This window comes from Homo sapiens, chromosome 2, assembly GCF_000001405.40.
Source record: "Homo sapiens chromosome 2, GRCh38.p14 Primary Assembly".
In the NCBI taxonomy this organism is placed as follows: domain Eukaryota; kingdom Metazoa; phylum Chordata; class Mammalia; order Primates; family Hominidae; genus Homo; species Homo sapiens.
The window spans coordinates 88,892,452-88,907,174 of record NC_000002.12 but is presented as its reverse complement, the minus strand read 5'-3'; the positions used below and the strand labels follow the sequence as shown (position 1 = coordinate 88,907,174).

The following is a 14,723-nucleotide window of genomic DNA, read 5'->3' as shown; positions in this document are numbered from 1 at the left end:
TGCATAGTATCCTATGGTGTGTATGTACCACATTTTCTTTATCCAGTCTATCATTGATGGGCATTTGGGTTGATTCAATGTCTTTGCTATTGCGAATGGTGCTGCAATGAAAGTACTCATACATGAGCCTTTAGAATAGAATGATTTACATTCCTTTGAGTATATACCCAGTAATGGGATTGCTGGGTCAAATTGTATTTCTGACTTTAAGTCTTTGAGGAACCACCACACTCTCTTCTACAATGGTTGAACTAATTCACACTCCCATCAATGGTGTATAAGCATTCCTTTTTCTCCACAACCTCATCAGCATCTGTTATTTTTTGTCTTTTTGATAACAGCCATTCTGACTAGTGTGCGATGGTATCTCATTGTGGTTTTCATTTGCATTTCTCTAATGATCAGTGATGTTGAGCTTTTTTTCATATGACTATTGACTGCTTGTATGTCTTCTTTTGAGAAGTGTCTGTTCACATCCTTTGCCCACTTTTTAATGGGGTTGATTGTTTTCTTGTAAATTTGTTTAAGTTCCTTATAGATGCTGCATATTAGACCTTTGTCAGATGCATAGCTTGAAAAATTTTTCTCTCATTCTGTAGGGATCTATTCATTCTGTTGATAGGTTCTTTTGGTGTGCAGAAGCTCTTTAGTTTAATTAGATCCCATTTGTCAATTTTTGCTTTGGTTGCAATTGCTTTTGGCATCTTCGTCATGAAATCTTTGCCTGTGCCTGTGTCCTGAATGGTATTGCCTAGGTTGTCTTTCAGGGTTTTTATAGTTTTGGGTTTTAAATTTAAATACTTTATCCATCTTGAGTTGATTTTTGTATCTGGCTTAAGGAAAGGCGTCCAGTTTCAATCTTCTGCACATGGCTAGCCAGTTATCCCAGCACCATTTATTGAATAGGAAGTCCTTTCCCCATTTTTTGTTTTTGTTAACTTTATTACAGATCAGATGGTTATAGGTGTGAGGACATATTTCTGGGCTCTCTATTCTATTCCATTGGTCTATGTGTCTGTTCTTGTACCAGTACCATGTGGTTTTGATAACTGTAGCCCTGTAGCATAATTTGAAATTGGGTAGTGTGATGCCTCCAGCTTTGTTCTTTTTGCTTACGATTGCCTTGGTTATTCAGGACTTTTTTGTTGTTGTTGTTCCGTATGAACTTTAAAATTGTTTTTTTCTAGTTTTATGAAGAATGTCAGTGGTACTTTAATGGGAATAGCATTGAATCTATAAATTGCTTTGGACAGTATAGCCACCATTTAATGTTACTGATTACTCCTATCAGTGAATATGGAATGTTTTTCCATTTGTCTGTGTTGTTTCTGATTTCTTTGAGTAGTGGTTTGTAGTTCTCCTTGTAGAGATCTTTCACTTCCCTTGTCAGCTGTATTTCTAGGTATTTTATTCTTTCTGTGCCAATTGTGAATGGGAGTTCGTGATTTGGCTCTCGGAATAACTGTTGTTGGTGTATAGGAATGCTGTATGAATGTATGAATGGTGTATAGGAATGTATGAATGGTGTATAGGAATGCTAGTGATTTTTGCACATTAATTTTGTATCCTGAGACTTTGCCGTAGTTGCTTATCCAGCTTAAAAAGCTTTGGGGCTGAAATGATGGGGTTTTCAAGATATAGGATCATGTCATCTGCAAACAGGGATAGTTTGACTTCCTTTCTTCCTATTTGAATGCACTTTATTTCTTTTTCTTGCCTGATTGCCCTGGCCAGAACTTCCAATACTCAGTTGAAAAGGAGTGGTGAGAGATGACATCCTTGTCTTGTGTCAGTTTTTAAGGGGAATGTTTCCAGCTTCTGCCCATTCCTAAAATCTGAAATTATAAAAACTTTAGGTTAAAACTTTTCCATTTCTGGGTTCACCAAATATTTCTTAGTTACAACATCAAAAGCTCAACTTATGAAAGAAAATGCTAATATATTAGGTTTCATTAATGTTCAAAACATTTGCATTTCAAAGGATACCATTAAGAAAATGAAAAGACAAACCACAGACCAGAGAAATTATTTATAAACCATTTATCTGATACACGCCATATTTCCAGAATATATAAGTCATAAGACAACCCAATTTAAAAATGAACAAAATATTTTAGTATAGATGTTATGGAAGAAGATATATGAACAGACAGTAATCACATGAAAAGGTGCTCAACATTATTAGTCATTAACAAAAATCAAATTAAATTCACAATAGGCACCATTCCATATACACTATAATGATTTTAATAATTTAAAAAACAGACAATAACAAAAGTTGGTGAGAATGTGACAGAAAAGAAGGCTTCATACACTGTTGGTGCAAGTGTTAAATGCTGCACACTCTTGAAAACAGTTTGGCAGTTTTTAAAAAATAAACAGAAATTTATCATATGGCTCAGCATTTCCACTTGTAGAGGTCTGTCTGAGAAAAATCAAAACCGGTGTCCACACAAAGACTTACAGGCAAATATTCATAGCAGCATTGTTGATCATCATATAACCAAAAAGTGCAAAGGACCTCAATGTTCCTCAACCTGTGAATAGATAAATAAAATGTGATATATCCGTACAGCGGAATACTATCCAAAAATAAAAAGGAATGGCCTACTGATACATGCTAAAACAGGGATGAACCTAAACTTCGTTTAATGGAAAGAAACCAGATAGAAACGACCATGCATGCATTATTCCATTTATATAGAATGTTCATATCAAGCAATCAATAGAGGGAAAGTCGATTAATACATGCCTGAGACTGGGAGTGGAAATAAAAATAGCTGCCGGTCTGCATAAGGGATCCTTCAGGGGATGATTAAAATGTTGTAAGATTAAACTGTGGTTATCTGCAACTTTGCAAATTTACCATAAGTCAGTGATTTGCACACTTAAAATAGGTGCTTTTCATGGTTTGACACTGTACTTTAATAAAGCAATTTTAAAATTGCACTGATTTTGTGACTGATCTACCTTGGACTTTCACCTGGGTAGAAGACACCTGAGGAGCTGAGCCTGGAACTGCACTTCCCCTACAGATATGGTGGATGCAAAGGAGTGTTGATTATGGGGAATCTGCACACTGATAAGGGCTTCTGGCAGCTGGACTTTCTTTGCACATTTGGGGAGGGCGTGGGTCAGTGGATAGGCAATGTTATCACACAGAGCTCTGGAATCCTCCACTGTGGGGACTCTTTCAGAATCACTTCCTCAAGGCATGATCTCTCAGCTCCCTCTTGGGGTCTGAATATGCAATGACACTATGGCGTTCCATCTCACTTCCCACCAAAAGTTCTCAGTGCAGGTAAAATGTGATTAGATGAAGTTTGATGTAGTCAGAAGGTCTCCTATAAATGCTAAACAGAGAGGAGTTCTGAAAGTTGTAATGTGCATTACAAGTCCAAGGATTTAACCAACATGCATTTACATGATCATGCCTGGACTCAAGAAATATCTCATTACTTGATATGATTTAGGTCAATTGTTTAAAAAATATTTTTCTGAGTAGCACCCTATTTCTCTGATGGTGAAAATATTAATAATAATGTAGGGACTTCCATCTTTCTATGAATGAACACACATCTACAGGATCTTTTTTAATTCTGGTGATTATTATGCTGTTTTTAGATGTTTAAATAGCATTGTTTTATTTCTGTAATATCCTTATTTCAGGCATTGGTCAGAGTTTTTATTGTGTTTACCTGTCTCCTCTCATTCCATATTCCTGACATATATATATTCAATATAAATCAAATTGCCTTTTACATTTTTCATTTGTCACTATAACTTCATTCATCTCTGTGAACATTGCTGTATGTTACGCATACATTTTTCCCATTGTCATAACTGCTTTTTTTCTTCATTGTAACCCCACAAGATGTAAAATGATTCCATATTTGTAAAGATAGAAAAGACAAATTACTACTTTTCATAATTCTGCTTCTATGTTTTCAAATATTGGCTCATAAATTAACATTTTTGGGAATTTATGTTTAACATTTCTAAAGAGATTATCTCCAGATCAAGAGATGAAAAATATAACCTATTCTTTATCATCACATTTTGGATTGTGTAGAAAACCTATACTTTATTCAAACATTTCTACTGAAGGGCAATTAAATTATGTTCAGGTTTTGCTAATATAATCAATGGATTTGTTAATACAATTTTACCTATATCTTTACACATGCATACTTCTATTTCTATAAATTAGCTTCTCAGATGTGTTTTAGGTAATAGATATGTGTCATTTTAATTTTACTGTAAAAATTCAAGTTGTTGCAATTTATTAATCTTTTTTGTTGTGTAGTGTTACGTTGTATAAATAATGTCACACTTTACTATCTACTGATCAAACAAAAAAATCTTAATCAGAAAAAATTCTCTCATTTTGAAGAAACAAGAATAAGATTAATAGCTAACCTCTAAACATAAATGAGGAAAAGCAGAGACCATAAAATTTCCTTAAAATGATAAGAAAAAGTAGCCATATAGCTAGAGTTCCCTTCAAAGTTAAGCATCCTTCAAGAATTAAGGTAAACTCAACACCACGTAGGAGGTCAGTATCTCTAGGCATGGGAACTTTAGTCACAAATCCCCTAAGTTATTTTTACTTCTAATCTTTGAGAATCAGTGAGCAACAATGGGAGAATTCTTTCCCAAGAGAATCAATGGGGCAATTAAACATCCTTGAGGCAGCAAAGCAGATATTTTCGTGCTTCCTCATGGTCTTTATATCTCTTCAGTAGTCCATTCAAGAGGAATAGAATCCAAATTTGCAATGAGACTAAAATTTAAGACCCTGCTTTGAACAAACTCTTACATATATTCTCTGATTCTAGTGCTCTCACTAACTCTTTGTTTATTAATATATAACTTTTAGGAAAACTATTCTTCAGCATACCCAGATAAAAATATTTCATGACAAAAACATCGAAAGCAATTGAAACAAAAGCAAAAATTGACAAATGTGACTTAATTAAACTAAAGAGCTTCTGTACAGCAAAAGAAACTATCATCAGACTGAACAGACAACTACAGAATGGGAGAAAATGTTTGCACTCTATCCATCTGACAAAGGTCTAATATCCAGAATCTACCAGGAATTTAAACAAATTTACAAGAAAAAAACAAACAACTCCATTAAAAGTGGACAAATGACAGGAACAGACACTTCTCAAAATATATGTGGCCAAAAAATATATGAAGAAAAGCCCAACATCACTGATCATTAGATAAATGCAAATCAAAACCCCAGTGAGATACCATCTCATGATAGTCAGAATGGCAATTATTAAAAAGTCAAGAAACAGCAGACACTGGTGACGCTGTGGAGAAATAGAAACACTTTTAAACTGTTGGAATATAAATTAGTTCCACCATTGTGGAAGACAGTGTGGCAATTCCTCAAAGACCTAGAACCAGAAATACCATTTGGCCCAGCAATCCAATTACTGGGTATATACCCAAAGGAATGTAAATCATCATATTACAAAGATACATGCTTATGTACATTCATTGCAGCACTATTCATAATAGCAAAGACATGGAATCCACCCAAATGCCCATCAATGATAGATTGGATAAAGAAAACGTGGTACATATACGATGGAATATTATACAGCCATAAAAAGTAATGAGATCATGTCCTTTGCATGGAAATGGATGGAGCTGGAAGCCATTGTCTTCAGCAAACTAACACAGGAACAGAAAACCAAACATCTCATGTCCTCACTTACAAGTGGGAGCTAAACAATGAGAATGCATGGACACAGGGAGGGACAACACACACTGGGGGATAGGGGAAGAGCATCATGATAAATAGCTTATGTACATAAGGCTTAATACCTAGGTGATGGGTTGATAGGTGCAGCAAACCACCGTGGCACACGTTTACCTATGTAGCAAACCTGCACATCCTGTACATCCATACATATATCCTGGAACTTAAAACAAAATAAATTTTTTTAAAAAACTTATCAAAAAATATTAGAACTAATAAATAAATTAAATATAGTTTCAGGAAAGAAAATAAAAAAGTTGCATTTCTACAATAACAATAAACAATCTGAAAAACAAATTAAGAAAATGATTCCATTTACAGACTTAAGTGAGTAAAAAGGTAAACCAGAGACAGAGACAAATGCGAAAAAATACTGGTTCTATCTATATCTATAATTGTATAAATATAGATACAGATGTTAGTTCAGGCTGCTATATCAGACTACCATAAACTGGGGGATGGACAGGGTTAAACAGCAGAAACTTTTTCAATTCTGGAAGCTGAGAAGTTCAAGATCAAGGTGCCAGCCAATCTGGTGTATAGTGAAGCCCGACTCCAGGTTTGTAGAGGACCTTCTCCTTGCATCCTCATGTGGCTAAGAGCAGAGAGCTAGCTAGCCCTCTGGTCTCTTCACTTCTTCTTATAAAGACATTAATTCCATTCATGAGGGCTTTACCCTAACAGCCTAATTACCTGCCAAGGCTCAATCTTGATCAACATATTGAGATTAAGATTTCAACATATGAATTTTGGCAGAGCACAAACATTCAGATTGATGGATAGATAGATGGATGGATGATAGGCAGATACACGCTGATATATATCACGCATATGTTATATATATATTTTCATACATATCTGTTCAACTAAATCAGAAAATGCATTAGTAAAATGGGCAGAATTTGACAGAAATTTTAACCCAGAGGATGGTCAAATGCCCTACAAGCATATATAATCCATATATAATCCCACAAACACAGATCGTAATTATGGAGTGATACTACTACACATGTAGAAGAAAGGCTTAAATTAAAAAGTTTTACAATACCAAGTATTGGTGGACATGTAGAACAATAGAAACCCTCATACATTGCTGGTGGAAAGGTGCATTTGTATACCCTGTTTGGAAATCAGAAGGATTATCTACTACAGTTTGATATACCAGCAACAAAGTATTTTACTCTATATTCCAGCAAGTGTGTTCAAAGATTGCTAACATGTTACATATCCTTTCTAAAGTTTGGGACATAAGACATATATAACTTTTATCATTTCTTCTGTATACATACACACACACACACACACACACACACACACAAATGTGAGTATGTTTGTGTGTTTATGGAGATAGACAATAGATAGATTGACAGATAGATCAATTGATAGATAGAGAGATAGATAGATGATGTTTTTATAATGCTGCTGTGGTAACAGTGTGAGAGACCCAGGGAATGTCCAACAAGCATACACAGTTACCCACATAAATAACCTTTTCTCTGCTAGCTGCTTCAATAGGTTCATCCTATCGTAAACCACTGGGGGTTGTGTACATGGTGCAAGGTAGTGACTCAGTAAGAAAATAGCACACAGGCAAGGGATAGAGCATCTATATAAAAAGAAATAATCCGGGTTTATATATTCCCAGAGGATGGAAATTTGCTTTCATGTCACTATGAGCCTAAGGTAGATGGGAACAGAGAGAAAGGGATTATAATGTAATATTTCCTGGACAGGATTTTCACTAAAACCTGGAGCTTCAATCTTAGAGAAGACTTGATAAGAATTTACAAAACTCAATAGTTTTATTTTTAGCTAAATACTTAATAGTGTTGTTCACATTCTGACCACTTTCTGTATTCACCATCTTTGAGACTAAACATACTATTTATTATTCTTACTAATGTCTGCTCCAGACATTAAGGGGAGCGATTACATTACTCAAGAAAGAAGCTTAAGTGAGGACTAAAAGCTTACAAACACGAATGTTTCTGTTCCCTCTTATAGGGTAGTCACTAATATTGACATCACCTTAATATTCTGTTGACCATATTTATCAATGTATGTCCTTGGAAGCGGAAAAGAGATTAGAGTAGAAAAAAAGAGAGCTGTAAGAGAAAAAACGAGATTCCAGAATCAGATTCTTTGATGTCTGCTCTTATAGAAAGTGGGAGAAATCTCCGAAATTGAGCCTTCCAAAGAACTTAACATATGAAATCATGTTTTTGATTATCATTCATCTACCCTGCCCTCCAGGGTTCCAGCCCAGTTCAGTGACAGTAAAACTAAGACAGAAATTGCTCTTAACTACGAGCTCATCATTGTGCATATTATTACTGGTTGCAATGGCCTTTGTTGGTCTTCACCATGCAATAACCACAAAGCCCTCATTTCTATGATCCAATTATTTCCTTCCTTGGTAATATTATTTCAGCCACTCCTTATTTGATGGCTATTAAATACTAACCTGAGAAGTCAGTTAAGTTTGCAGAGTTAGGGATAATTGCAGATAAATCTTAATATTTCATTAGGAAACAATCCTACATGAGGTTTCTTCAGGTAGTGGCTGTAGTAGAACAATAGCAAGAAGGCTAGCATAATCCAGGAATAATGAGGTCAAAACATGAAGACTGCCTTGCTGGTGCTGTTTTCCCACAAGTTTCAGAGGGGTGATTCTAAATAGCAAATGCTCAATTAAACAGCATCACCTGAACATTAGAGAGTGAAGATAAAAAGATACATGTTTCCTCAAGTATTGTGATTTGCCAAATTTAATTTCCTCAACCGCTACACAGTTTTCAGGTTTTTGGAAAAATATGTGGGGTTTCAGGTAAGATTTGAGCAGTGGCATGAAGGGGATAACCCAAAACTTGTCCAGATATAACACATGCCAAAGACATACAGGGTATCTCTTTAAATTTGGAATTATAGAATTGAATTGTGTTAAAAGAACAAGTAACTTAAAAAAAAGAAATGAGACATCTTACTGATCCATATAATTAAGAAAAAAAATGGAAAATAAAAGAAAGATAAATACTTGAAATCTGAGGCAAACCTGACTAGTAAGAGTCTGCACCCAGGTTACATGTTGCTCTCATAACTATCACTCGCTTTTCCCCATCACTGGAGGGAGGACTGAAGAGGACTGGTGAGCACTCAGTGGGTTAGGGAAGAGTCACGATGACTGTGTGGATGAGGGTGAGAATGCTTATAGGGAGGGACAATTTCCTTTAATGCTACTATTTGGAATCTAAGCTAGATGCATTTTGGTTTTTGGTTTTGTTTTTCTTGGAGGTGGAAATGATGAGTGTGGCAAAAGACAGGGAGTTGGCCATGAGAATTTACCTCTGCTTGGAAGTGAAATTGTTGGCACAGCTGGACAACGTGAGAAAGGCTGTCCTGGTTTTTGCCATATCAAGTGTGTCAGGCACAGCATGGGGGCAGCAGAAACTACAGAAACAAAAAGAAAAAGGAAGTGAGTTGCATGGGCATGGAGAAGCCTTATAAACACCACAGGGCCACCCAGTTCCACATTCTGAACATTTTCAGCAGCAGCTGAGGCAATCCCACTGAGAGAACTTGGAGGTTTTTGTAACAGGGTGTATCACTGTGAGAGGGAAATTATCATGTTGTAGACAGAAGTAATATGCAGCATCCTCAGATTCTATGTTATTAATTGTGAGGGTAAAATCTGTTCCATACCCGCTGCCACTGAATCGAGGTGGGATTCCAGGAACGAGAGTAGTAGCTTCTTGAATAATGAAAATAGCAGCTTCTCCTGGTTTCTGTTGGTACCAGTTCATATCATCATCAATGTCTTGGCTGGCTTTGCAGGAGATGTTGACTTTGTCTCCTGGAGTCGCTGACATGAATGCTGGAGACTGCGTGAGTGTCGTTTCTGCCCTGGTATCTGATTATGGAGCAAAGTAAAAAACATAAATCAAATGCATCATATTTGCAGAGAATGAGGAAAATCAATTCCTTATGAAAATATATTATTTTTGTGGATATGCAGGGGACTTGGTGGCACAGAGGAGAGGAAGTGTTTCTCTTACCAGAGATCCAAAGGAGGAGGAAGCTGAGGAGGTGAACCTGGGACCCCATAACCTTGGCCCTGACCTGCAGGTGGTAGTCAGTTCCTAATCAGTTTGACAGCACAGATTTTATGGCCACAAACATATTATAGGGTTATATAAAGGACAAATATGCAAATTATATGGTACATGATGGTGACATAGGGAGTGTTTAAATGGCAGACTGTGTGAAACCTAACCCATGAGCTGTGCATAGTTTTATCTTCACAGCTGTGCACACTCAGAAGGTTAAAATTAACGTAACCTCCTGGGTGTGCATTTATCATCTTTCTTTTTCTTTGCATTTCTGCAACAAGACTCATTATTCTGCAGGCTTCAGTGTTACCTCTTCTGTGGTTCTGATGCTCAGTAACCCACCAGTGGTAGACGCCATGGCAATATTCCTGACATTGCCAACAATTGCCTTTCTTTTTTCCCTGCATCAGGCATCCTGTTCTGTTACTTGTGATGAAACCCAGTGTTAGAGAGGCTGCACTTTTACAATGCACACTTGGTTCCCTGATTACTGAGCCCTACTTTTCTTTTGCATTAATGCACTTGTTAGTTCTACTAAACTATAATTTCATAACATTTCGGTAGTTGTTTTCATGTATTAAAATTTTTATTTTATTTTGACTACAGTATATTAATTACTTTTCAGTGGAACCTGGTAGTCGTAAAATGATTTTCTTTCTATACCATAAATGCACATTTTTAAAAACTATAAGCAGTCTTTGAAAATGGAACTCTGAAAATTACAGGTATACCTTAGTGTAAAAGAGATAAAGAATGAGAAATTAGATTAGTGTAGTCAGTTTGAGTGGAAAGTGATGTTACTCTTCTGGGTTTTTTTTTTTAATAATAAAATTCTGTTTTTCCCATTTTATTCTTCTAGAAGGCAAAGGGAATCATGGAGGTGGAGGACTCTTCCTAATGAAACAAAAAGCATTCTAGAAAGTTTCCAAACTTCAGCATTGCTGGTATCTGATATGTATTACTGGAAAACAGAACCAACAACATAATTTGTGAGCCCCAGTGCAAAATAAAAATGCAGGGCTGCTTCTTAAAACAGGAAGAGAATTTTCTCAAAAATATTTTATTACTTTGAAAATATAATAGTAACATGAATAGCAAGATCAGCTTTCATATAATTCAAAATGTCTGCTTATGCATTCTATCATATCACTGGATCCTCCATTACAAGGAAAAAATAATTTTTAAATTGTTTTTCTCAATAATAATTGATAATTTGAATCTTCATATGAGAATAATGTTCTTTTCTATCAAATATAACAATATTTAAACTTAGTTTTTACTTCTAATACTGTGGAAAATTGCTTTGCATTATTACAGCAATTTTCAAACATGGAGATTCTAAACTCTTGGGAGAATTATAATAACTCCTTGATATGTTTTGTTACAATGTTTATGAGTATGCTTTTATTTTGTAATGATTTACTCACAGTGCTTACTGCCTAAGCATCAGTAGTTCCTGTTTTAATACTCAGGCTGGAGAGTTAAAATTAATTATACTTCAATTTAATTTCGATTTATTAAGCCACACAATTATATAACAGCAGTAATACATAGAATTTTGATTAATAGCTACTATTATCATAACATATTTGCACTACCCATGAAACATTTAATGTTAATTAAAAGTGCACTTAGAAATAAGCCAGACACAGAAAGACAAATATTTCATGTTCTCACTCATATGTAAGAGCTAAAGTAGTGGATCTTATGGAGCTAGAGAGTAGAATAGTTACCAGAAGCTGGGAAGGGGGGAATAAAGAGAGGTTGGTTGATGGGTACAGACATGCAGTTAGAGAAAAGGCATAAGTTTTTGATAGCATCATAGGGTGACAATAGCTATCAATAACATTGTACATTTAAAAGTAGCTAAAAGAGAAGATTTTGAATATTCTCAACACATAGAAATTATGAATGTTTGAAGTGATGGATGTCTTAAATATCTTGATTTGTTTATTACACATTTGATTTGTTTATCACACACACATATATCAAAATATCACAGGTACCCCATAAATATGAAAAATTATTATTTAATAATAAAATATTTTGGAAAAACAATTAAAAATTATTTTATTAAATCACTGGAACAGTAGAAAGACCACTAGTGGTGTATGAAGAGTGACTTTTACTTTTTAATCTAAATACTTCATTGTAGTTTCTTAATAACAAGAATGTATGCAAACATCACTTGTATAATCTACACATAGGAATATATATTAAAAGTTTTCTCTATGTAATGTGTTTATTTATAGCTTTCATTCTAATAAAAAAATTAGCATAAAAAAGTAAATAAAACCTGACTTGGATTAATTGTACATTTATTGCAATCCCTAGTACAACTACTTAAAAAGTAAAAAACAAAAACAAAAAAAAAGATCACCATCACTGATATGCTAAGAAAAGAAAGAAAATGGAATCATACAAAATGCTCAATTGAAATCACAAAAGACAGAAAAAAAGTGTGGAGACAAATGAGCAAAAAGAACCAGAGCACCAAATATGAAATAACAAACATTATTCATCAATCCAAATGTACTAATAATCACTTTAGACATCAGTGGATTGTTACACCAATTAAAAGAGATTGTCAGCCACATTATAAAAAACACCCAACTATATGTAGTCTACAAGAAATCCATTGTAAATATAAAGACATATAGATTAAAAGTAAAGGGATGGAGAAAGATATACCATGCTAACACTTATCAAAAGAAAACCAGAATAATTTCAGACAGACCAGACTTCAGAGCAAGGAAAAGTATCAAGGAATTAAAAAGAGGACATCATTATAGATTTTATGTATGCTAAAAAAAATAGTAAAAGAATACTATAGATAACTTTGTGCCCACTTACTTGATAACCTAGATGAAATAAACCAACTTTTTGAAAAATGCAATCTACAAAAGCTCACACTGAAGAAATAGTAAAATCAGAAAAGACCTGTATCTATTGAAGAAGTAGAATCAATAATTAATAAGCTTTCAAAACAGAAAACACCAGGCCTAGATGGATTTATGGGTGAATTCTATCTAATATTTAAGGAAGAAATTATACCACTTCTCTACAATATATTCCAGAAGAGAAAAGCAAGAGAGAATACTTCCTGTTTCTATGAGACTGGCATAATCAGAATGCCAAACCAAAAAAAAGAAATTACTAAAAAAATCTACAGACCAATATTGCTCATGAAAATAGATGCAATATTCCTCAATAAAATATTAGTAAATCGAACCCAACAATATCTAAAAAGAATTATATACTATAAGCAATTGGGATTTATTCCACATCTGCAAGGCTGGTTCAATATTAGTAAACCAATTAATGTAATCCATCATATTAACAGATTAAGAAGAAATACATAATCATATCAATAAACGCAGAAAAAGAATTTAAAGAAATCCCATACTCATTAATTATAAAGAAAAAACTCTCAGTAAACTAAGAATAGAAGAGAACTTCCTCTTGTAGATGCAAGTCATGAAGTCCATCTACAAAAATCTGCATGTAACACCATATTTAATGGTGAGAAATTAGAAGCTTTCCTGCTAAGATGTGGAAAGGATGTTCCCTCTTACTTCCTTTTCCACAGAGTACTACAAGTTCTGCCAATATAATAAGACAAATAATGGAAATTAAAGATACACAGATTGAGAGGAAAGAAATTTCATATGATTATATCATTACGTGCAGAAAAAGCATTTGTCAAAATCCAATACCTATTCATGATTTGTAAAAATTAGAAAAATTTAAAACACAATAGCTGTTCATAACAGAATTTATTCACAAAATTAAAAAATGAAAATGAGGCTGCCGCAAAACTAAGTTTTTGAGTGGCACATTTGTTAGCTAAGGAAGAGAAGCCACTTACCCATGGTAAGTTAATTAAATCATGTTTGATTGCAGCAGCTAAAAACTGTGTCCAGAGAATATAAACTTGCTTAGGACTATTGGCTTTCTGTACGTTTATGGATCATAGTTCAGGCAAAAGCACTGTGTTCAGGGAAGGTAAATTCATATCCAGAGTAGGCATCTATTTTAGTAGGAATGAAATGCTGTTTCTTACATGATGGAAGTGGTCTAATGTAATCAACCTGCCACCACGTAGCTGCTTGTCACCCAGGGGAATGGTGCCATATTAGAGAATTAGTGTAGGTCTCTGCATCTGACAGATTGGACACTCAGCTGTGGCCACAGCCAGATCAGCTGTAGGGAGTGAAAGTCCATTTTACTGAGGCCATGCATAAGCTCCATTCCTGCCACTGCGATCACTTTGTTCATGAGCCCATTGGGCGATGACTGGGCATTTTGCTGCCATTCTTATTACCGTTATATGACCAAGCTATTCAGTGCAGACACACAAAGATAACACCATGTTTCTTTGAAGGGTGTGTAACTCACACATACATCATTGTTCAAGGCCATGGGTCTCTTTAATTTCCAGTGAACCAAATGGGCTATACCTTATTATTATTTTGGAAACTTCCGTATTCCACCCTTTTGCTGCCATTTGATCTTATTTCCTACAGCTCATCAGCATGAAGCCTCTGACTACTGATCCTATAGATGATTATCTTTTAAAAATCACCATTTCTTCCTCCAACTCAAGAGGATAACCCTGGAATTAGAGTCTGGGTCAGGATAAACCTAAAACTCTGGATCAGGTGAGGCCTCTGAGGATCAGTTTTCTCTAAGGCAGGATGAAGACCAAGAATATCCCAAGGAAATCCCCAGGATATCACCTGGAGAATTACTGGGATTTGCATAGGGGATAGGGAGGAAGGGGAATTGGGGATAGAGTCAAAGCCAGTTGTGCTATCAGTGTAGCCAGGCCAGGGAAC

General features: G+C 35.0%; 1 gene segment (V, D, J or C) and 1 further gene, besides 2 other annotated features; both read right to left on the bottom strand.

The window, feature by feature from the left end:
* IGK (immunoglobulin kappa locus) overlaps positions 1-14,723 on the bottom strand; it is a 1,378,008-nt gene that overhangs the window by 1,328,194 nt on the left and 35,091 nt on the right.
* Positions 9,391-9,880, bottom strand: IGKV5-2 (immunoglobulin kappa variable 5-2). The segment is given in 2 exon segments: positions 9,391-9,686; positions 9,832-9,880. Coding segments are annotated over 2 exon segments (345 nt in total), but the record flags the coding sequence as incomplete, so codon positions are not given.
* Positions 9,676-9,686: a sequence feature (IGKV5-2 leader sequence).
* Positions 9,832-9,880: a sequence feature (IGKV5-2 leader sequence).